Source organism: Homo sapiens, chromosome 7 (assembly GCF_000001405.40).
Source record: "Homo sapiens chromosome 7, GRCh38.p14 Primary Assembly".
NCBI classification, from domain to species: Eukaryota; Metazoa; Chordata; class Mammalia; order Primates; family Hominidae; genus Homo; species Homo sapiens.
In genome coordinates, this window is record NC_000007.14 from 131546614 (window position 1) to 131560431 (window position 13818).

The 13818-nt window shown below is 52.9% G+C and overlaps 1 protein-coding gene across 2 annotated transcripts in view, besides 7 other annotated features; it reads right to left on the reverse strand.

Annotated features, from left to right (window-relative positions):
- Positions 1 to 10015, reverse strand: part of PODXL (podocalyxin like) — a 56358-nt gene extending 46343 nt beyond the window's left edge. For both annotated transcript variants that reach the window (NM_005397.4, NM_001018111.3), the window contains exon 1: positions 9647 to 10015. In NM_005397.4, the coding sequence (NP_005388.2) occupies positions 9647 to 9746 (100 nt within the window). In that variant the 5' untranslated portion in view covers positions 9747 to 10015. The remainder of the gene's footprint in view (positions 1 to 9646) is intronic.
- Positions 4581 to 5088: an enhancer, noted in NCBI's record as "H3K4me1 hESC enhancer chr7:131235953-131236460 (GRCh37/hg19 assembly coordinates)". NCBI's record gives its function as "activates a minimal SCP1, AML or CMV promoter by ChIP-STARR-seq in primed H9 embryonic stem cells {active_cell/tissue: H9 hESC(primed)}" and the evidence as "EXISTENCE:reporter gene assay evidence [ECO:0000049][PMID:30033119]".
- Positions 5597 to 6104: an enhancer, noted in NCBI's record as "H3K4me1 hESC enhancer chr7:131236969-131237476 (GRCh37/hg19 assembly coordinates)". NCBI's record gives its function as "activates a minimal SCP1, AML or CMV promoter by ChIP-STARR-seq in primed H9 embryonic stem cells {active_cell/tissue: H9 hESC(primed)}" and the evidence as "EXISTENCE:reporter gene assay evidence [ECO:0000049][PMID:30033119]".
- Positions 9636 to 10145: a silencer, noted in NCBI's record as "silent region_18663". NCBI's record gives its function as "represses an Ori minimal core promoter by ATAC-STARR-seq in GM12878 lymphoblastoid cells {active_cell/tissue: GM12878}" and the evidence as "EXISTENCE:reporter gene assay evidence [ECO:0000049][PMID:35858748]".
- Positions 10226 to 10285: a silencer, noted in NCBI's record as "silent region_18664". NCBI's record gives its function as "represses an Ori minimal core promoter by ATAC-STARR-seq in GM12878 lymphoblastoid cells {active_cell/tissue: GM12878}" and the evidence as "EXISTENCE:reporter gene assay evidence [ECO:0000049][PMID:35858748]".
- Positions 10316 to 10435: a silencer, noted in NCBI's record as "silent region_18665". NCBI's record gives its function as "represses an Ori minimal core promoter by ATAC-STARR-seq in GM12878 lymphoblastoid cells {active_cell/tissue: GM12878}" and the evidence as "EXISTENCE:reporter gene assay evidence [ECO:0000049][PMID:35858748]".
- Positions 10316 to 10950: a biological region, named in NCBI's record as "NANOG-H3K27ac-H3K4me1 hESC enhancer GRCh37_chr7:131241775-131242322".
- Positions 10403 to 10950: an enhancer, noted in NCBI's record as "NANOG-H3K27ac-H3K4me1 hESC enhancer chr7:131241775-131242322 (GRCh37/hg19 assembly coordinates)". NCBI's record gives its function as "activates a minimal SCP1, AML or CMV promoter by ChIP-STARR-seq in primed H9 embryonic stem cells {active_cell/tissue: H9 hESC(primed)}" and the evidence as "EXISTENCE:reporter gene assay evidence [ECO:0000049][PMID:30033119]".

Sequence of the window (13818 nt, forward strand, 5' to 3'; positions counted from 1 at the left end):
TATGGGGGAAGCCGAGGTGAGAGGATCGCTTGAACTCCTGAGGCGGAGGTTGCAGTGAGTCGAGATCGTGCCACTGCACTCCAGCCTGGGCAACACAGTGAGGCCCTGTCTCAAAAAAAAAAAAAAAAAAAAAAAAAAAGTCTGTTTTGACTCAAAGCCCCAAAGTGAAGGGCAGTGCCCCCTAGGGGTGAGCTGAGGAGCACCAGGCAGGAATAGGAAGGCAGGGGGCGCCATCTCAGTGGCTTCTTAGCTAAGCCCACCCTGGCCACCTTCATCTAAAACTGCGGTCTCCAACTAACCCTGCCTCCCCGCACTGAGGCCCCCAGCCTGAGTAATGGGGAAGGGCCTTGAAGAAGAAAACCTGGCCCTGTGAGGTCGCAGAGGATGCTGCTCTAGCATGGCGTTGGGGGTGGGGTAACAGGGTCTGTTGACTCACACTGGGCTAGGGCTGACGCCAATACAAGAAATAAAATCAACATGCCAGGTGCGGGTGGCTCACATCTGTAATCCTATCACTTTGGGAGGCTGATTAGGCGGATCACCTGAGGTTGGGAGTTCAAGACCAGCCTGACCAACAAGGAGAAACCCCGTCTCTACTAAAAATACAAACTTAGGTGGGCGTGGTGGTGCATGCCTGTAATTCCAGCTACCCCAGAGGCTGGGGCAGGAGAATCACTTGAACCCGGGAGGCGGAGGTAGTGGTGACCCAAGATTGCGCCATTGCACTCCAGCCTGGACAAACAAGAGTGAAACTCCGTCTCAAAAAAAAAAAAAAAAAAAAAAAATCAACACGTGTGGATGCTTTCTGCACATCAGAGGCACCACCTACATGATCCTATTTAGCCCTTGCTATGGAGGAGGGCACAATACCTATTTTCCCGCTGGAGAAGCCCAGGTCAAGGAACAAGTCTGAGATCACAAGGCTAACAAGTGTCGAAGCTGTGGCTAAAATCCAAGCCTCTTAACTGCAGAGTCTAGGGCATCAGCAGAGATTTCCATTTTTCTTCTCTTCACCATCACAGCAAAATTTTTTGTCAAAGGAATTCTTACGTAGAGACCTATCATACGGAACAGTTAAAAGTAGGCCTTCGTGAAGAGGATGGACGTAAAACTCCCCCCAAATCGGCCTCCTCTTAATTTTCCTCTCCAGGTATGCACCCCAAGCCCTCAGTGGCCCCCAAGGCAGCTCCACGGAATACCACCCGCAGGTTTCAAAGTCACTGGCCCCCGGCTGCTGCTGTCACTGAGAGCTCATAGCCAAACCCCTAAGACAGTATTTCCTTGGCCCTGCACTCACCTGCTCTGAGGTGAGAGGGAGAGATGGGGAGCAGAAACACTTCTTCCCTATCCACAGGCCAGTGGGGGAACCCAGGTCCTTCCCCTCCTACCCTGCCCAAGGCCCAGCTTATGGGGGTCCTGGGACACCTCGGATCCCTGTTGCAGCTCAAGACCCAATTAGGAAGGAGCCAGGTTTCTTTGTGCATTACCAGAAACTGCCCCTCAGGACCAGAAGGCTACAGCCACATAACTGGAGGACTAAGTGGGACCAGGCTTCCTGAGAGCTGTGTTTCCTGAGAGCTGTGTGCAGAGGCGAAGCTGATCTGACCGGCAAGGTGAGGACAGAGGGCAGCTACAGAGACGTCCAAGGTTTGCAGGGACCAGTTCTGCAGTAGCATTTGCCAGTCACCTACTCCAAATATCCACTCTCTGCTTCCTCCTTGTAACTGAACCACTGTTTTTTGGGTAGGCACTTGGGTGCCTGAAATAAAAATTACTCTTCCCTAAGTTCTCTTTCCTGCCTGCCTTTCAGCTAGTGTGACCACATGCTAAGTTCTGTTCAACAAAATGTGACTAGAAGTGTCACATGTGGTTTCTGGGAGGCACACTCTAAAGAGGAGCCACATGCTTCTTGTTCCTTCCTTTTTCCTGATGGCTGGAACTCCAGCAGCCACCTTGGACCACGAGGCCACGTGTGAATGATGGCAGAACCACTATACCACCCCTCTGAAGTTCTATGATATGAGAGAGATATAACTGATGCCTGTCTTATTTAATCCACTACTCTTTTTTGTTGCTATGAGCAGCCAAATCAAGTTCTAACAAACACAAGCCCCAATCCTCAGCTGAAGGATCCTTTGGGTGGGGACAGCACAGGAGACATGGCCCCCTCCTGCTTCCTACCAGGAATCCCTGCTCCTTCCTGCCCATATGCCCCCAGGACCTAGGCCGGCCCCCACCTGCCACCTCTTTCTTGAATCAGGTAGCCTTGCATTTACAGAGCACAGGCTGGCAGGCAAGTTCTAAGCCAGCCCTGACACCTACTCACTTACTAACTCATTCATTCAACCTATATTTATGGAACAGCTACTTTGAGCTAAGTGCTATTCTAGGTGCTGTGGCTACAGCACAATGGAAGTCCCTGCCCTCATGGAACTTACAGTCTAACGGGGAAGAGACAGACAAACAAACAAACCAATGAACACATATCAGGTGACGAGTGCTATGGAGAAAATAAAGGCGAGTAGGAGGAAAAGAGTGTGCTGGGGGGGAGGGGTTTCTAAGCAGAGCAGCCCCGGTAGGCCTCTTTGAGAAAGTGGCATTCATGGGGAGAGCTGAAGGAAGTGAGGGAGTGAACCACGTACATATTGGGAGAAGAGCTGGTTGTATGATCTACTGCAAGTCCTTGCATCTGTGCCTCAGTTTCTCCTCTCTGGAATGGTCTGTGAGATAAAGGTCATGCAAAGGCAGGCTACCCCAGCTGGAGGGCTCTGTGGTTCCAATCAGTGTGTTGGGAGTAGGTTGGCATGGGAACCTGGCTGGATGGAGACCAAAGGGACTCAGTCCTCAGGCAGAGCTCCATGAATTTCAGGTAAGAAGGAGCTGTGGCTTCAGCCTCACACACAGCCAGTATGTTCAAAAATTACAGAGTGCCCTCCTCACCGGCTTGCTTAACTGCCGTCCCTTCTACTCTGATCAGGGTCAGGTAGCTGGAAGGTTAAGAAATCAGACAGCGTAGACCCCAGGTCAGTCCACACATCCCTAGGGGCCTGGCTCTGGGAGGTCCCTGCACCCCAATCCAGGGCCAGATAGCAAGCCTCTCTCAGCCGCTCCTTAGAATTCTCTTCCCCCTGAGTGGAGGCACATACATAGCCTTCTGGCCATGACAATTGGTGGACGAGGTGCCACCCTACACCCTGGTCCTCGGAAGTGTGAGGTGGCTTATTCCCAAGGGGAATAAGGCTACAAAAGAAGAGAGGGTGGTGGTGATATATGTCGGGGAAGGGGGTGGGGATGGTTGGAGGTGGCCCAGGGGCCAACCTTAGCTGGGGGACCCTCTTAGCTGAGGGTCTGTGCTTGCTGCTGCTCCAGCGATTCAGGGCAGGGCCAGGACTCAGAGACAATGCAAGAGCTTGGGATGCGGGAGATGTGGGCAAGGGCCACTGATGAATCTGCAGCTGAACGCTGCATTTTGTGCAGCCAATTATCCCGCAAACATTTCTTAACCACCTATTTGGCTAGAGGCTGTGGAAATGACAGGGGGTCCTCAGCCAGTGGGCCAGTGGCAAACACCGACATATTTAGGCACAATGCATGGTGGCCAGTGCTATGGCACAGTATTCCAGGCACCCTTAGGAGTCTAACTCTTAAATAGCAACATGGCCCCAAGCCTCAATTTACCCTTATGGTAGAGGGGTAGGGAAAGAGATGTGGGCACAGTATAGGTTTGTCACCATCCTAAAGTCCTTTTTAAAGAGGTTTTTCGCCAGGCATGATGGCTCATGCCTGTAATCCTAGCACTGGGAGGCTGAGGTGGGCAGATCACTCAAGGTTAGGCGTTCAAGACCAGCCTGGCCAACATGGTGAGACCCTATTTCTACAGAAATTAGCTGGGTGTGGTGGCGCATGCCTGTAGTCCCAGCTACTCAGGAGGCTGAGGCAGGAGGATGTCTTGAATCTGGGAGGCAGAGGTTGCAGCAAGCCACCTGCACTCCACCCTTGGCAACACAGCGAGATTCCATCTCAGAACAAAAAGAAGTAAAATAAAAAAATATATAAAGGGGATTTGGTGAGTTTTTCCAATTCCCAGGAGGGAATCAGCACTGAAAGGGCTGAGTTCTATTCTGGTATTTACAGCTGACACGTATGCGCACATGCACACACATACATGCACGCACACACACACACACGCACACACACGTGTGCACACCCACCTCCTGGAAAGCTATTTATTGAGAGTCACTGGGAACTTGGGCGAATGAACCCACCTCCCTGGCCTGCAATCCCCCATTTGAAACAAGCAGGTTGTAGTAGATGATTTCCAGAAGGCTCCCCAGCTCTAGAATTCTGTGTCCTATGATTTTCTGGCTCATTTAGAAGTGGTGTGGAAAGTACCCTTTGCCAACCGAATTCCACATTGCACAGCCTGCAGGCTGCCGACTCGAAGCAGTCATATGGCAAATGTTACTGCAAATATGAAGAGGCTCCTTTAAGGGATCCTCTGTGTCAATTTTCTTGAAGGCTTTTCTTATAGAGAATGCCCCCGTCATTTGGCCTGTGCAGGGTAGGAGTCACCATCCCAGATCTGCTACATCACTTGATTTCTTAACAGCCCCATAGAGCAGACAGGATACATGATAAAGAGAGGCCCATCCAACTTAGCCCATGTTCCTGGGTCCGGGACAGGAAACCCCACCAGCTGAGCTCCCTGCCCTGCTTCATGGCCAGTGGGTGCAAATAGGAAATGAGCCCAGAGCTGGGTAAAGAGCTCCTGGCTGAGGTCCAGTGAAAGTGTCCAGGCAGGCTCAGGCTGGTGGGTAGGGATGGGCAGGGCAATGCCATTCTCTTTCTCTGATTATGTAGGAATGACTTCCATTTCAGCTAGAGCAAAGCTTGCATTCAGCAGCCCTGAAGAGGGCCTCTGCCTCAAAGGGTGTGAAGAAGCAGCACTTCCTGGAATAGGGGTCATCTACGTCCCCTCCTGAGAAGTCCAGTGAACTGGAGACACGATTCCTCCCACTTCCCTTAAGAGTGAAGGGCTCTGAGCTGGGTGCGGTGGCTCATGCCTGTGATCCCAGCACTTTGGGAGGCTGAGGCGGGCGGATCATGAGGTCAGGAGATCGAGACCTTCCTGGCTAACATGGTGAATCCCCGTCCCTACTAAAAAATACAGAAAATTAGCCGGGCGTGGAGGTGGGCGCCTGTAGTCCTAGCTATTCGGGAGGCTGAGGCAGGAGAATGGCGTGAACCCGGGAGGTGGAGCTTGTAGTGAGCTGAGATCACGCCACTGCAGTCCAGCCTGGGTGACAGAACGAGACTCCATCTCAAAAAAAAAAAAAACAGTGAAGGGCTCTGAGCTAAGTGCTGAGCCAGCTCCACAGCAGCCACCAGCATCACAGGGGTCACCAGCCCCACAGAAGCCTTAACCTTCAGCAGTTGCTCCCACCAGCTCTAGCTGCTGGAGAACAAGCCCACTGGCCAGACATCCCTTCCCAGGATGCAAACTCCCCTTCCAGGGAGCCTAAAGCCAGGGCTGAAGCCGGTTCCCCTCAGTTCTACAGTCCAGAGTATCCCAAGCGACCGCTCAGCGCTGGGTGCTGGGCTGGGCCCTGGAGGTGGTGATAAGTATGTTGTTGGCCCCTCGAGGGCCTCACCGCATGGTGGAGGAGACACACAGATCATGGAACACACTTTGGTTCTCCCTAGGAAACCAGGGAAGGCATCTCAGAGATGATGCCTGAGGGTGGCTAGGAGTGGCTCTTCCCCTCCCTCCCTGCAAGGGGGGGAATTCTAACCACAGGGAGTCTAGTCCCCTTCCCCTCTCAGCTTTCCACAGGGCAGTGGTGTTAAAACCCCAGGCAGCACCCTCCTCTCCTTTCAAACATGGGTTCCTGAGGAAAACCAGATGGGGGACAGCCTCCATGCCTCTTCCCCCACCTTCTCTAGGCCTGGGGGACACCCTGAGGACCCTCCTGGGCAGGCCACGCTCCCCTCCTCAGCCCTTCTCTGGACGACCACACTCCAAAGCTCTGGCCACACTGACACCAGGTGCTTTTGGGTCTGCCCTTGAATGGCTGGGCTCCTAACCCCGCCATGTCCAGCTCGCTCCTGCCTCAGATCCTGTCCCAAGCTGCACCATGCTGGGAACACCCACATTCCCCCACCCCAGCCCTGGGCACCTTGTTTTTTTCCTTGAGTCAGGGTCTCCCTCTGTTGCCCAGGCTGGAGAGCAGTGGCGTGATCTTGGCTCACTGCAACCTCTGTCTCCCACGTTCAAGCAATTCTCCTACCTCAGTCTCCTGAGTAGCTGGGACTACAGGCGTGTGCCACTACCATGCCCAGCTAATTTTTTTGTCTTTTTAGTACAGTCTTACTAGGTTGCCCAGGCTGGTCTTGAACTCCTAGGCTCAAGTGATCCTCCCACCTTGGCCTCTCAAATTTGCTGGGATTCCAGGCGTGAGCAGCCACACCCTGCCACCGTGGAATTTTCTCTCCAGTTCTGAGAGCTAATCTCCCCAAAGCCTCAATGACTCCATCTCAAGAACCACCATCACAGACTCCCCGACCCTAATCTGCATCTCCCCTACACACTACAATTCATAGAGCCTCAGCCACATTAGGAAACACTGACCCTTTTAATTTTAAAATCCCTATGTGAAAACCCCACCTCCTTCAGGAAGCTTTCTCCAGACCTCCAGACCACCCCTTCCAAATCTTATACTCTTTTCCATATGCCTCCCTCTCCCACAGAGTGGCACTGGGGCTTCAGTTTTTATTATCATATATCCACTGATACCCACAAACATTGGCAGGATCCCAATGCCTGGGGTCCCTTAAACCCACCAGGTGCTCAATATATATGCTTACTAATCATCATAGCTATTTTTTGAGTGTTGATCCTGAGTTGGGCGTAAAGCCAAGCCCATGATATATATACTCGCTCATCTTCATAGCAACCCACAAGGTAGGGCTGTTATTACTTTATAGATGAAGAAACTGAGGTTCAGGGAGGTCCACTATTTTGTCCATGGTCATGCACATCTCTCTGACCCAAAGTCTGAGTGTTTCCACCCCACCAAGCTGCCTTTCTGTTGCCCAGAATTCATCCATTGAACATCAGATTGAGAGTACTGAATCAGCTTGTCCTTTCAGTAGCTGAGGGAACACGGAACCCCAGATATCTTATCATGGTGGAACTAGAGGTCCCTTTGGTTCTTTTATTCTATCTCACAAATAACGAAACGGAGGCACGGAGATGTGACTTACCATTGTGGTTCTGCCAGATGGTTATCAAACCAAAAAGCACTGAAAGGGGGTCTGATGAATTGTCCAACCCTTAAGGTGAATGCTTTCTTTGCTGTAGGCTGCATAATCTGCCCATATATTGGAAGGTAAGCTGGGGGAGAGGGGCAGGGATGGACCTGTCTGGGGATAATTCCTTTGTTGCAGAGACTCGAGCTATAAATCTTTCTTGCTTTGAATCAAATCACAGGATTCCAGCAGATGGGGGGCAGTGTTTATGCTATTCCCGATGACAGCAGCCCAGGCGACCACACCTTCAGAAGGACAGGGATGGAGCTGGCCTTACTGAGTCCCTAGAGGGTGGTGTAGAATGCACCATAGCTACTGAACAGACCAATCTTGCCGCAACATGCCCCCCACAAGCCTTTTCTGGCCTCAATACATGCAAATCATCATCACCATCATGATCATCATCCTCTCCCCATCCCCCACTTAGCACTTTGCACTTTTCTAAGTGCTTCCCAACAGTGCTGCATACTATAATGCATACAGTGCTCAGATAGGCCAAGTTACTTGCTGGTTAGAGCAGGCACTGGGTTATGGTCATTTTTGTTTGCCACATACCAAACTTCTGCCATGTGCCAAACCCTGTGTTAGGCCAGAAGTGGTGCTTCATGGAAGAGACATGGTTTCTGGCAGTGCCCAGGTGCCAGGAAAAACAGTGCCATCCTTGAAGCCAGCAGTGAGCTGGAGTCAGAGCTTTGCCCACTGGTGACTTATGAACATTTCCTTTTAGGGCAGACAGGGAGGGTCTTGTCCCACAGTGCCTCCCACTCCTCAAAGGAAGGGTGGCTCAGCTTCCTTAAGCTCAGAAGCACTAGGGACTAACCCCTCTTTCCTGACACAGCCCAACGCCCTTCTGGGTGGTTCTAAGAGGCTTCCCAACAAAAGGTTCGTATGAAGGCCCACCCTGAAGTCCAGCTGTCCCCAGAGTAGGGCTAAGGAGCCACCATACTCTCGTGTCATCTCAACCCTGCATGTCGTGTGGCTCTTCAGTGATTGCCACTCTGAAAGCTGTTCTGACTGTTCCTCACACTGCAGCCCCTCTTCCAGGGACACACATTCTTCCCCCCGCCGGGACCTTCCCTTTCTAGTCAGGCTGGTGGAGTCTCCCGCCGGCCACAGGAGGATGCCCACGCCTGCCTGCTCCCTGAGTGCCAGCGCCTGCCCACTACCAAAGGTTTCCTGCGGTGCAGAGGAGAGACTGTACTGCCCTTCCATCTCCCCTGGCCCCTTAGAGTCCAGTCCCAAACTGCCGGCACCTGCTCACAGCAGAATCCCTACCCTGTCTGTGCTGTCCCCGCAGTCCTCCTGGCCCTAGGGTGATCACACCACCTCAGCTCTTCCTGCAGACATGTGCTCAGGTGGGCAAAAGAGAATGAGAAATGCACCTCTCCCGTGGGGCTGAGCTGACTCTGGCTGTTCCCTAGGGGCTTAAGAACACCTGTTCTGGTTGAGTTTGCAGCCATCGCCTGTCCCCCAAAAGGGAAAGAGTAACATTTCACCTTGAAAAGAAACAGGGAGGGGATGTTTCTGAGGTGCAGGTGTTTCATGAGAGACAGGTACATTTTCTAAGGTGTGTCTAAAATGCAGCCCAATCCTATTCTACGAGAGAGAAGTTCCCGTTTGAACAAGTTCCCGTTTGAACAAGAGGATTCGAGGGGGGTCTCACCATCGTAGCCACGCACTAAGAAGCGATTGTTTTAGGGACACGGAGGTAGGACCCCCACTCAGCCAGGTGACTCTGGGACTGTGGAAGGTCCACTTACGACTCTGTACCTGCCCCAGCACGGGCTCAAGGAGTTGAGCCTGCACACATTACTTAGAAAAAACCTCTGCAAACGGGTAAGTACATCGCCCGCGTGGGCCGTGGCTGGAGGCTTGTCACCTGCTTCAGGGACTTCCTCGGGAGCCTCTCGCCTGCCTCTTTGCCTGGAATTAACGAATACACACTACAGCCCCTCATTCCCTCCAACACGAAGGAAAGGTGTAATCAGATCCCGAGAGTCCCGCAGAAGCGTGGAGCCTCGCGGTGCGGTCTCCCTTTTCTTTCCCATGCAAACCCACTTAGCACCGGCGCGCCCCTGTTTGCCCGGGCAGAATCCACCGCCCACTCCTCCCGAGTGGAGAGTGGAGACGAATCTACGCCCAGGCCCTGCACCTGCCGCGCTGCGGAGTTTGGAGGGGGCGTGGATGGTGCAAGGTCAGGGCTCCGTGTGTGACCCCGGCGGTGATAGGGCTGCTCGGGGTCGGACCACGCGGCGCGCCGGGCTTCCCTGCAGCTCGGCCGGGCAGGGGGCACATGGGCACGGTGGGAGTCCCGGCGGAACCCAGGCCGGCCACTCACCATTCTGGGAGGGCGACGGCGACGGCGACGGCGACGACGGCAGCAGCGGCGGCGTTGACAACAGTAGCAGCAGCGCCGAGAGCGCCAGCGCGCAGCGCATCGTGTCGTCGCCTCTGGGCCGGGAGCAGGTGGCTGCGGTGCCGGCGGAGGATCCGCGCGTCCGGGCGGTAGGAGCGTGGGCGCCGCCCGGGGAGGCCTGTGGGTGGCTCCGGAGGCCAGGCTGTGGCCCGGGGCTCCCGAGTCGCGCTGCGGCGGCTCTTCCTCCCTGCCGCTGCAGCAGAGCCGGGCTGGGGCGCAGAGCCAGTGGCAGAGGAGCGGCGGCGGCGGCGGCTGCGTCCTGGGCGGCGTCTGCGCGGCTGCGGCCCCACTGGCGGCTGCGGCTACTCCTGGCCCGTCCCGTCAGCGCCGGCCCCCGCCCCCGCCCCCGCCCCTCCCCCTCCCCCAGGAGCCCGCCAGCGGCGGCGGCCGGGCCGGGCGGGGCCGGGGCCGGGGCTGGGCGGGCGCTGGGCCGTGAACAATGAGCAGAGGAGGAAACTCCGCCCTGGAGCGCGACGGGCGGGAGGGCCGGCGGCCTCCGCGCCTTGGGGGGCTGTGTGTGCGCGGGGGCCAGGGCGGGGGGCTCCTGCGGTGCAGCCGGGCCCCGTCCACAGGTGTCCCGAACAGGTGTGTCCCCCCGAGTGCTTCTAAGTGGGCCCGGCGGGATCCCCCAGCACACCGCCGGGGCCCTCGCACTACGAGCAAATCCGGAGCGGGCGGACCCCCAGCCTTGCGTGGTAACTGATAACCATTCACGGCCTCCCGGGCTGCTGCGCGTTCTGCAGCGACCCCGGAGAAGCTCATCTCCCACCTGCCAAGTGCAATTCACCTGCCTGTGGGGCCCCCATCCCGCACGGCTTCTGAGCGGGGTCTCTCTGCAGCTAGGTGTGCAGCGGGCAAGCTGGACTAATTCACTCCTTCACCTCTCCAAGGGTAGGTTCCTTACCTGTGAAATGGAGATGATGGTTAAAAAACAACAGCAACAACAATTTCAGGGATGAATGTGTGCCAGGCTTTACATATATTAATTCTTTTACTCTTCATGACAACCATATTTTTAGCCTCATTTTGCAGACAGGGCAATTGAGTCAAAAAGAGGTTAAGAAACTTCCTGAGGCCACATAACGGGTAAGTGGCAAACCTGCCTCTGAGAGAAGTTTGGAGAAATACCGTGCACCGTGCCTGGAATATAGTAATTGCTCTGCAAGGAGTGGTTATTACTCTTATTCCTGCTATATAAAGAACAGCTATAAAGATTAGGGCTTTTGGGTCAAAACAGGCTGGGGCTCAAAACCTAACTGTGCCAATCTATTAATTGTAAAACCCTAGGCAAGCTATTCTCAGTACCTCATTTCTTTTTATCTGTAAAATAGGGATAATAACACCTACCTCAGGGGGTTGTTGGGAAACTTAAATGTGATCTTACAAGATAATACTTAGCCTAGGGCCAGGAACACAAAAGTCTCAATGAATGAAGTAGTTCGCCCTCCAAGTGAGGATCAGAGATATTTGCACACTGGGGGTGGGAGTGGGTGTTGGAGAATTCCGTAAACTGAGTTTATCCGGTGAAAGAACAAAGAAGTTCCTTTCCCCTCCCCCGCTCCCCTCCTTTTTTCCACCCCCAAAGCTGCCTGGGAGACGCAGACCCCAGGCCCGCCTGAAGAGGAGGCACATCGGCGGAGCCGGGAAGCGGAGGGGGCGAGGGGTGATTAACCTTGGAACCCGGGTACGGCGTAAATTTGGCTCACGTGACTCCGGGGTTGCTAATCTGGAGTCTATCTGCCAGATGGGGCTGGGTGGAGGGGTTTTCTCCAGGATCTAGCCGCGTCCCGGGCACAGGGGACTCCGTGAGCCCCTCAAGTCGGCTGCAAGCAGGCGATGCCTGCAGGGCACTGCGTCCCTGGAGCCGCGAAGGAAGCGCTGGAGCCCTGGCTGGGGTTCCGTGGCAGCCGGCCTCAAGCTTGGGAAGGGCTGACGGGGTTGTTTTCATCAGGAAGTTTCTGCAGGATCGTTCTGGCCCCGTTTTCCACACCGCATATGGGAAAGACAGAGGGTGTTCCCTATGAATACTCTGGGATATTTGTGTGTGTGACTATCTTTGATGTTTTTTTAGTACTGTTCCCCTGATATCATGTCAACAAAAGGCTTGTTTCTCTTCTGAAACCAAGCAATATATATATATATTTTTTTTTACACTGGGATTTTAAAAAATGTGTATCGCACTCTGATTTAAACAGTGTTTTTGCACTCAATCATTCAATTTATCTAAAAACTCAGAAGCAATCATGTTAACTTTATAAAGAGAGAGCGTATATTTTGAAGCTTAGGGCATTTTAAATTCACATGATTTGGGATTGGTGCCATTACAAGATCATGCAAAATTAAAATGAGAGCAGACATCTGGGCTTAGAGAAGACATAGAAAAGTTACAATTGTGCTGGACTCTCCCCAGTATCCAACAGCCCCCCTCAACTTATGCACAACGTGGCTTTCTGGAATGAGGCTGGCTGGGTTTTGAGGTCACTGGTGGCCACTGAGATGAGCTACCCCCAGGTAACTGGCCTGTGCCTTTGGCCCCATTTAGCATTGTGCTCTAACTAGCAAGCTCGCCAGCCCAGAACACCTGAGCTTATATTTGAAACCCAAAGCACTTTATGGGTGCTGTTTTTGAAGCTTTTCATCAGGAAGTTTCTGCAGGATCATTCCTTCTGGGATTTGTTGCATTTTGGTTATTTGTATACATGCGTTAGCTCTCCTAGCAGACATTCAGCTTCTTTAACATGGCGTCTTTCTTATTCATCCTTTACTTACTCAGACCACCAAGAACAGCACATCACTTTTTTTTTTTTTTTTTTTTTTTTGAGACAGAGTCTTGCTCCTGTTGCCCAGGCTGCCTCCGCCTCCCAGGTTCAAGCAATTCTCCTGCCTCAGCCTCCTAAGTAGCTAGGATTACAGGCATCTGCCACCACACCCGGCTAATTTTGTATTTTTAGTAGAGACGGGGTTTCTCCATGTTGGTCAGGCTGGTCTCGAACTCCCGACCTCAGGTGATCTGCCCGCCTCGGCCTCCCAAAGTGCTGGGATTACTGGCGAGAGCCACCGCATTTTTATCAAGCAAATGGTTTTGCTGCCCCATGGGCACAGAAGCCAATACTATGAAGCACTAGCTTTGGAAAAAGCAGCGGCTTTATTTGCAAAACTGGTCAGCAAAGAGACAGGAGTGAATTCAAATCTGTCTCCCCAGCCAGGCACGGTGACTCATGCCTGTAATCCCACAACTTTGGGAGGCTGAGGTGGGCAGATCACCTGAAGTCAGGAGTTTGAGACCAGCCTGGCCAACATGGTGAAACCCCATCTCTACTAAAAATACAAAAATTAGCCAGGCTTGGTGGCATGCGTCTGTAATCCTAGCTACTCAGGAGGCTGAGGCAGGAGAATTGCTTGAACCTGGGAGGTGTAGGCTGCAGTGAGCTGAGATTGCACCACTGCACTGCAGCCTGGGCAACAGAGCAAGACTCCATCTCAAAAAAAAAAAAAAGAAAAAATGTCTCCCCAGTTTGAGGCCTGGGGTAAATTTATGGGATCAGAAGGCAATGAAAAGATTTAGGAATGTTGGCTTGGCAGAATCTGATTGGAGGGCTTTAAATTTGACCATTTACAGAAAGGTATGTTGAGGCGGACTTTTAGCCCCACATCTTCCAAGCCATTGTACGTCTGGCTTCTGAGAGAGTTCTGGCATTCGGATTCCCATCAAGTCTCTTAGTCTTTTTAGTTCCAAGGGAGAATTCATTGTTTTGGGGTTGTTGTTAGAGTTCCAACTATTTTCTATTGCTTATGCTGGAGCAACGTGACATTTTGTTATCAACAGAGCAAGCCCAGTTTGGGCCTTTCCCTCAGTTACAACATCATACATATAGATACAGATACAGATCTATAGATACAGATCTTGAATGCAAATATGAATGTCACCTGGAAGATATTACGCAGGAACCCATGGCACAAGGTTACACATTTTTCCATGGCCCCTGGCTGTCAATGTTAGGGGCCATAATTCTCTGCCCCAGGTGCAATTTGGTGATGTTGTTTACCTAAGTGCATCCTTATGTGCAGACTCAGTAAGTCCTCTTGACCCTCAT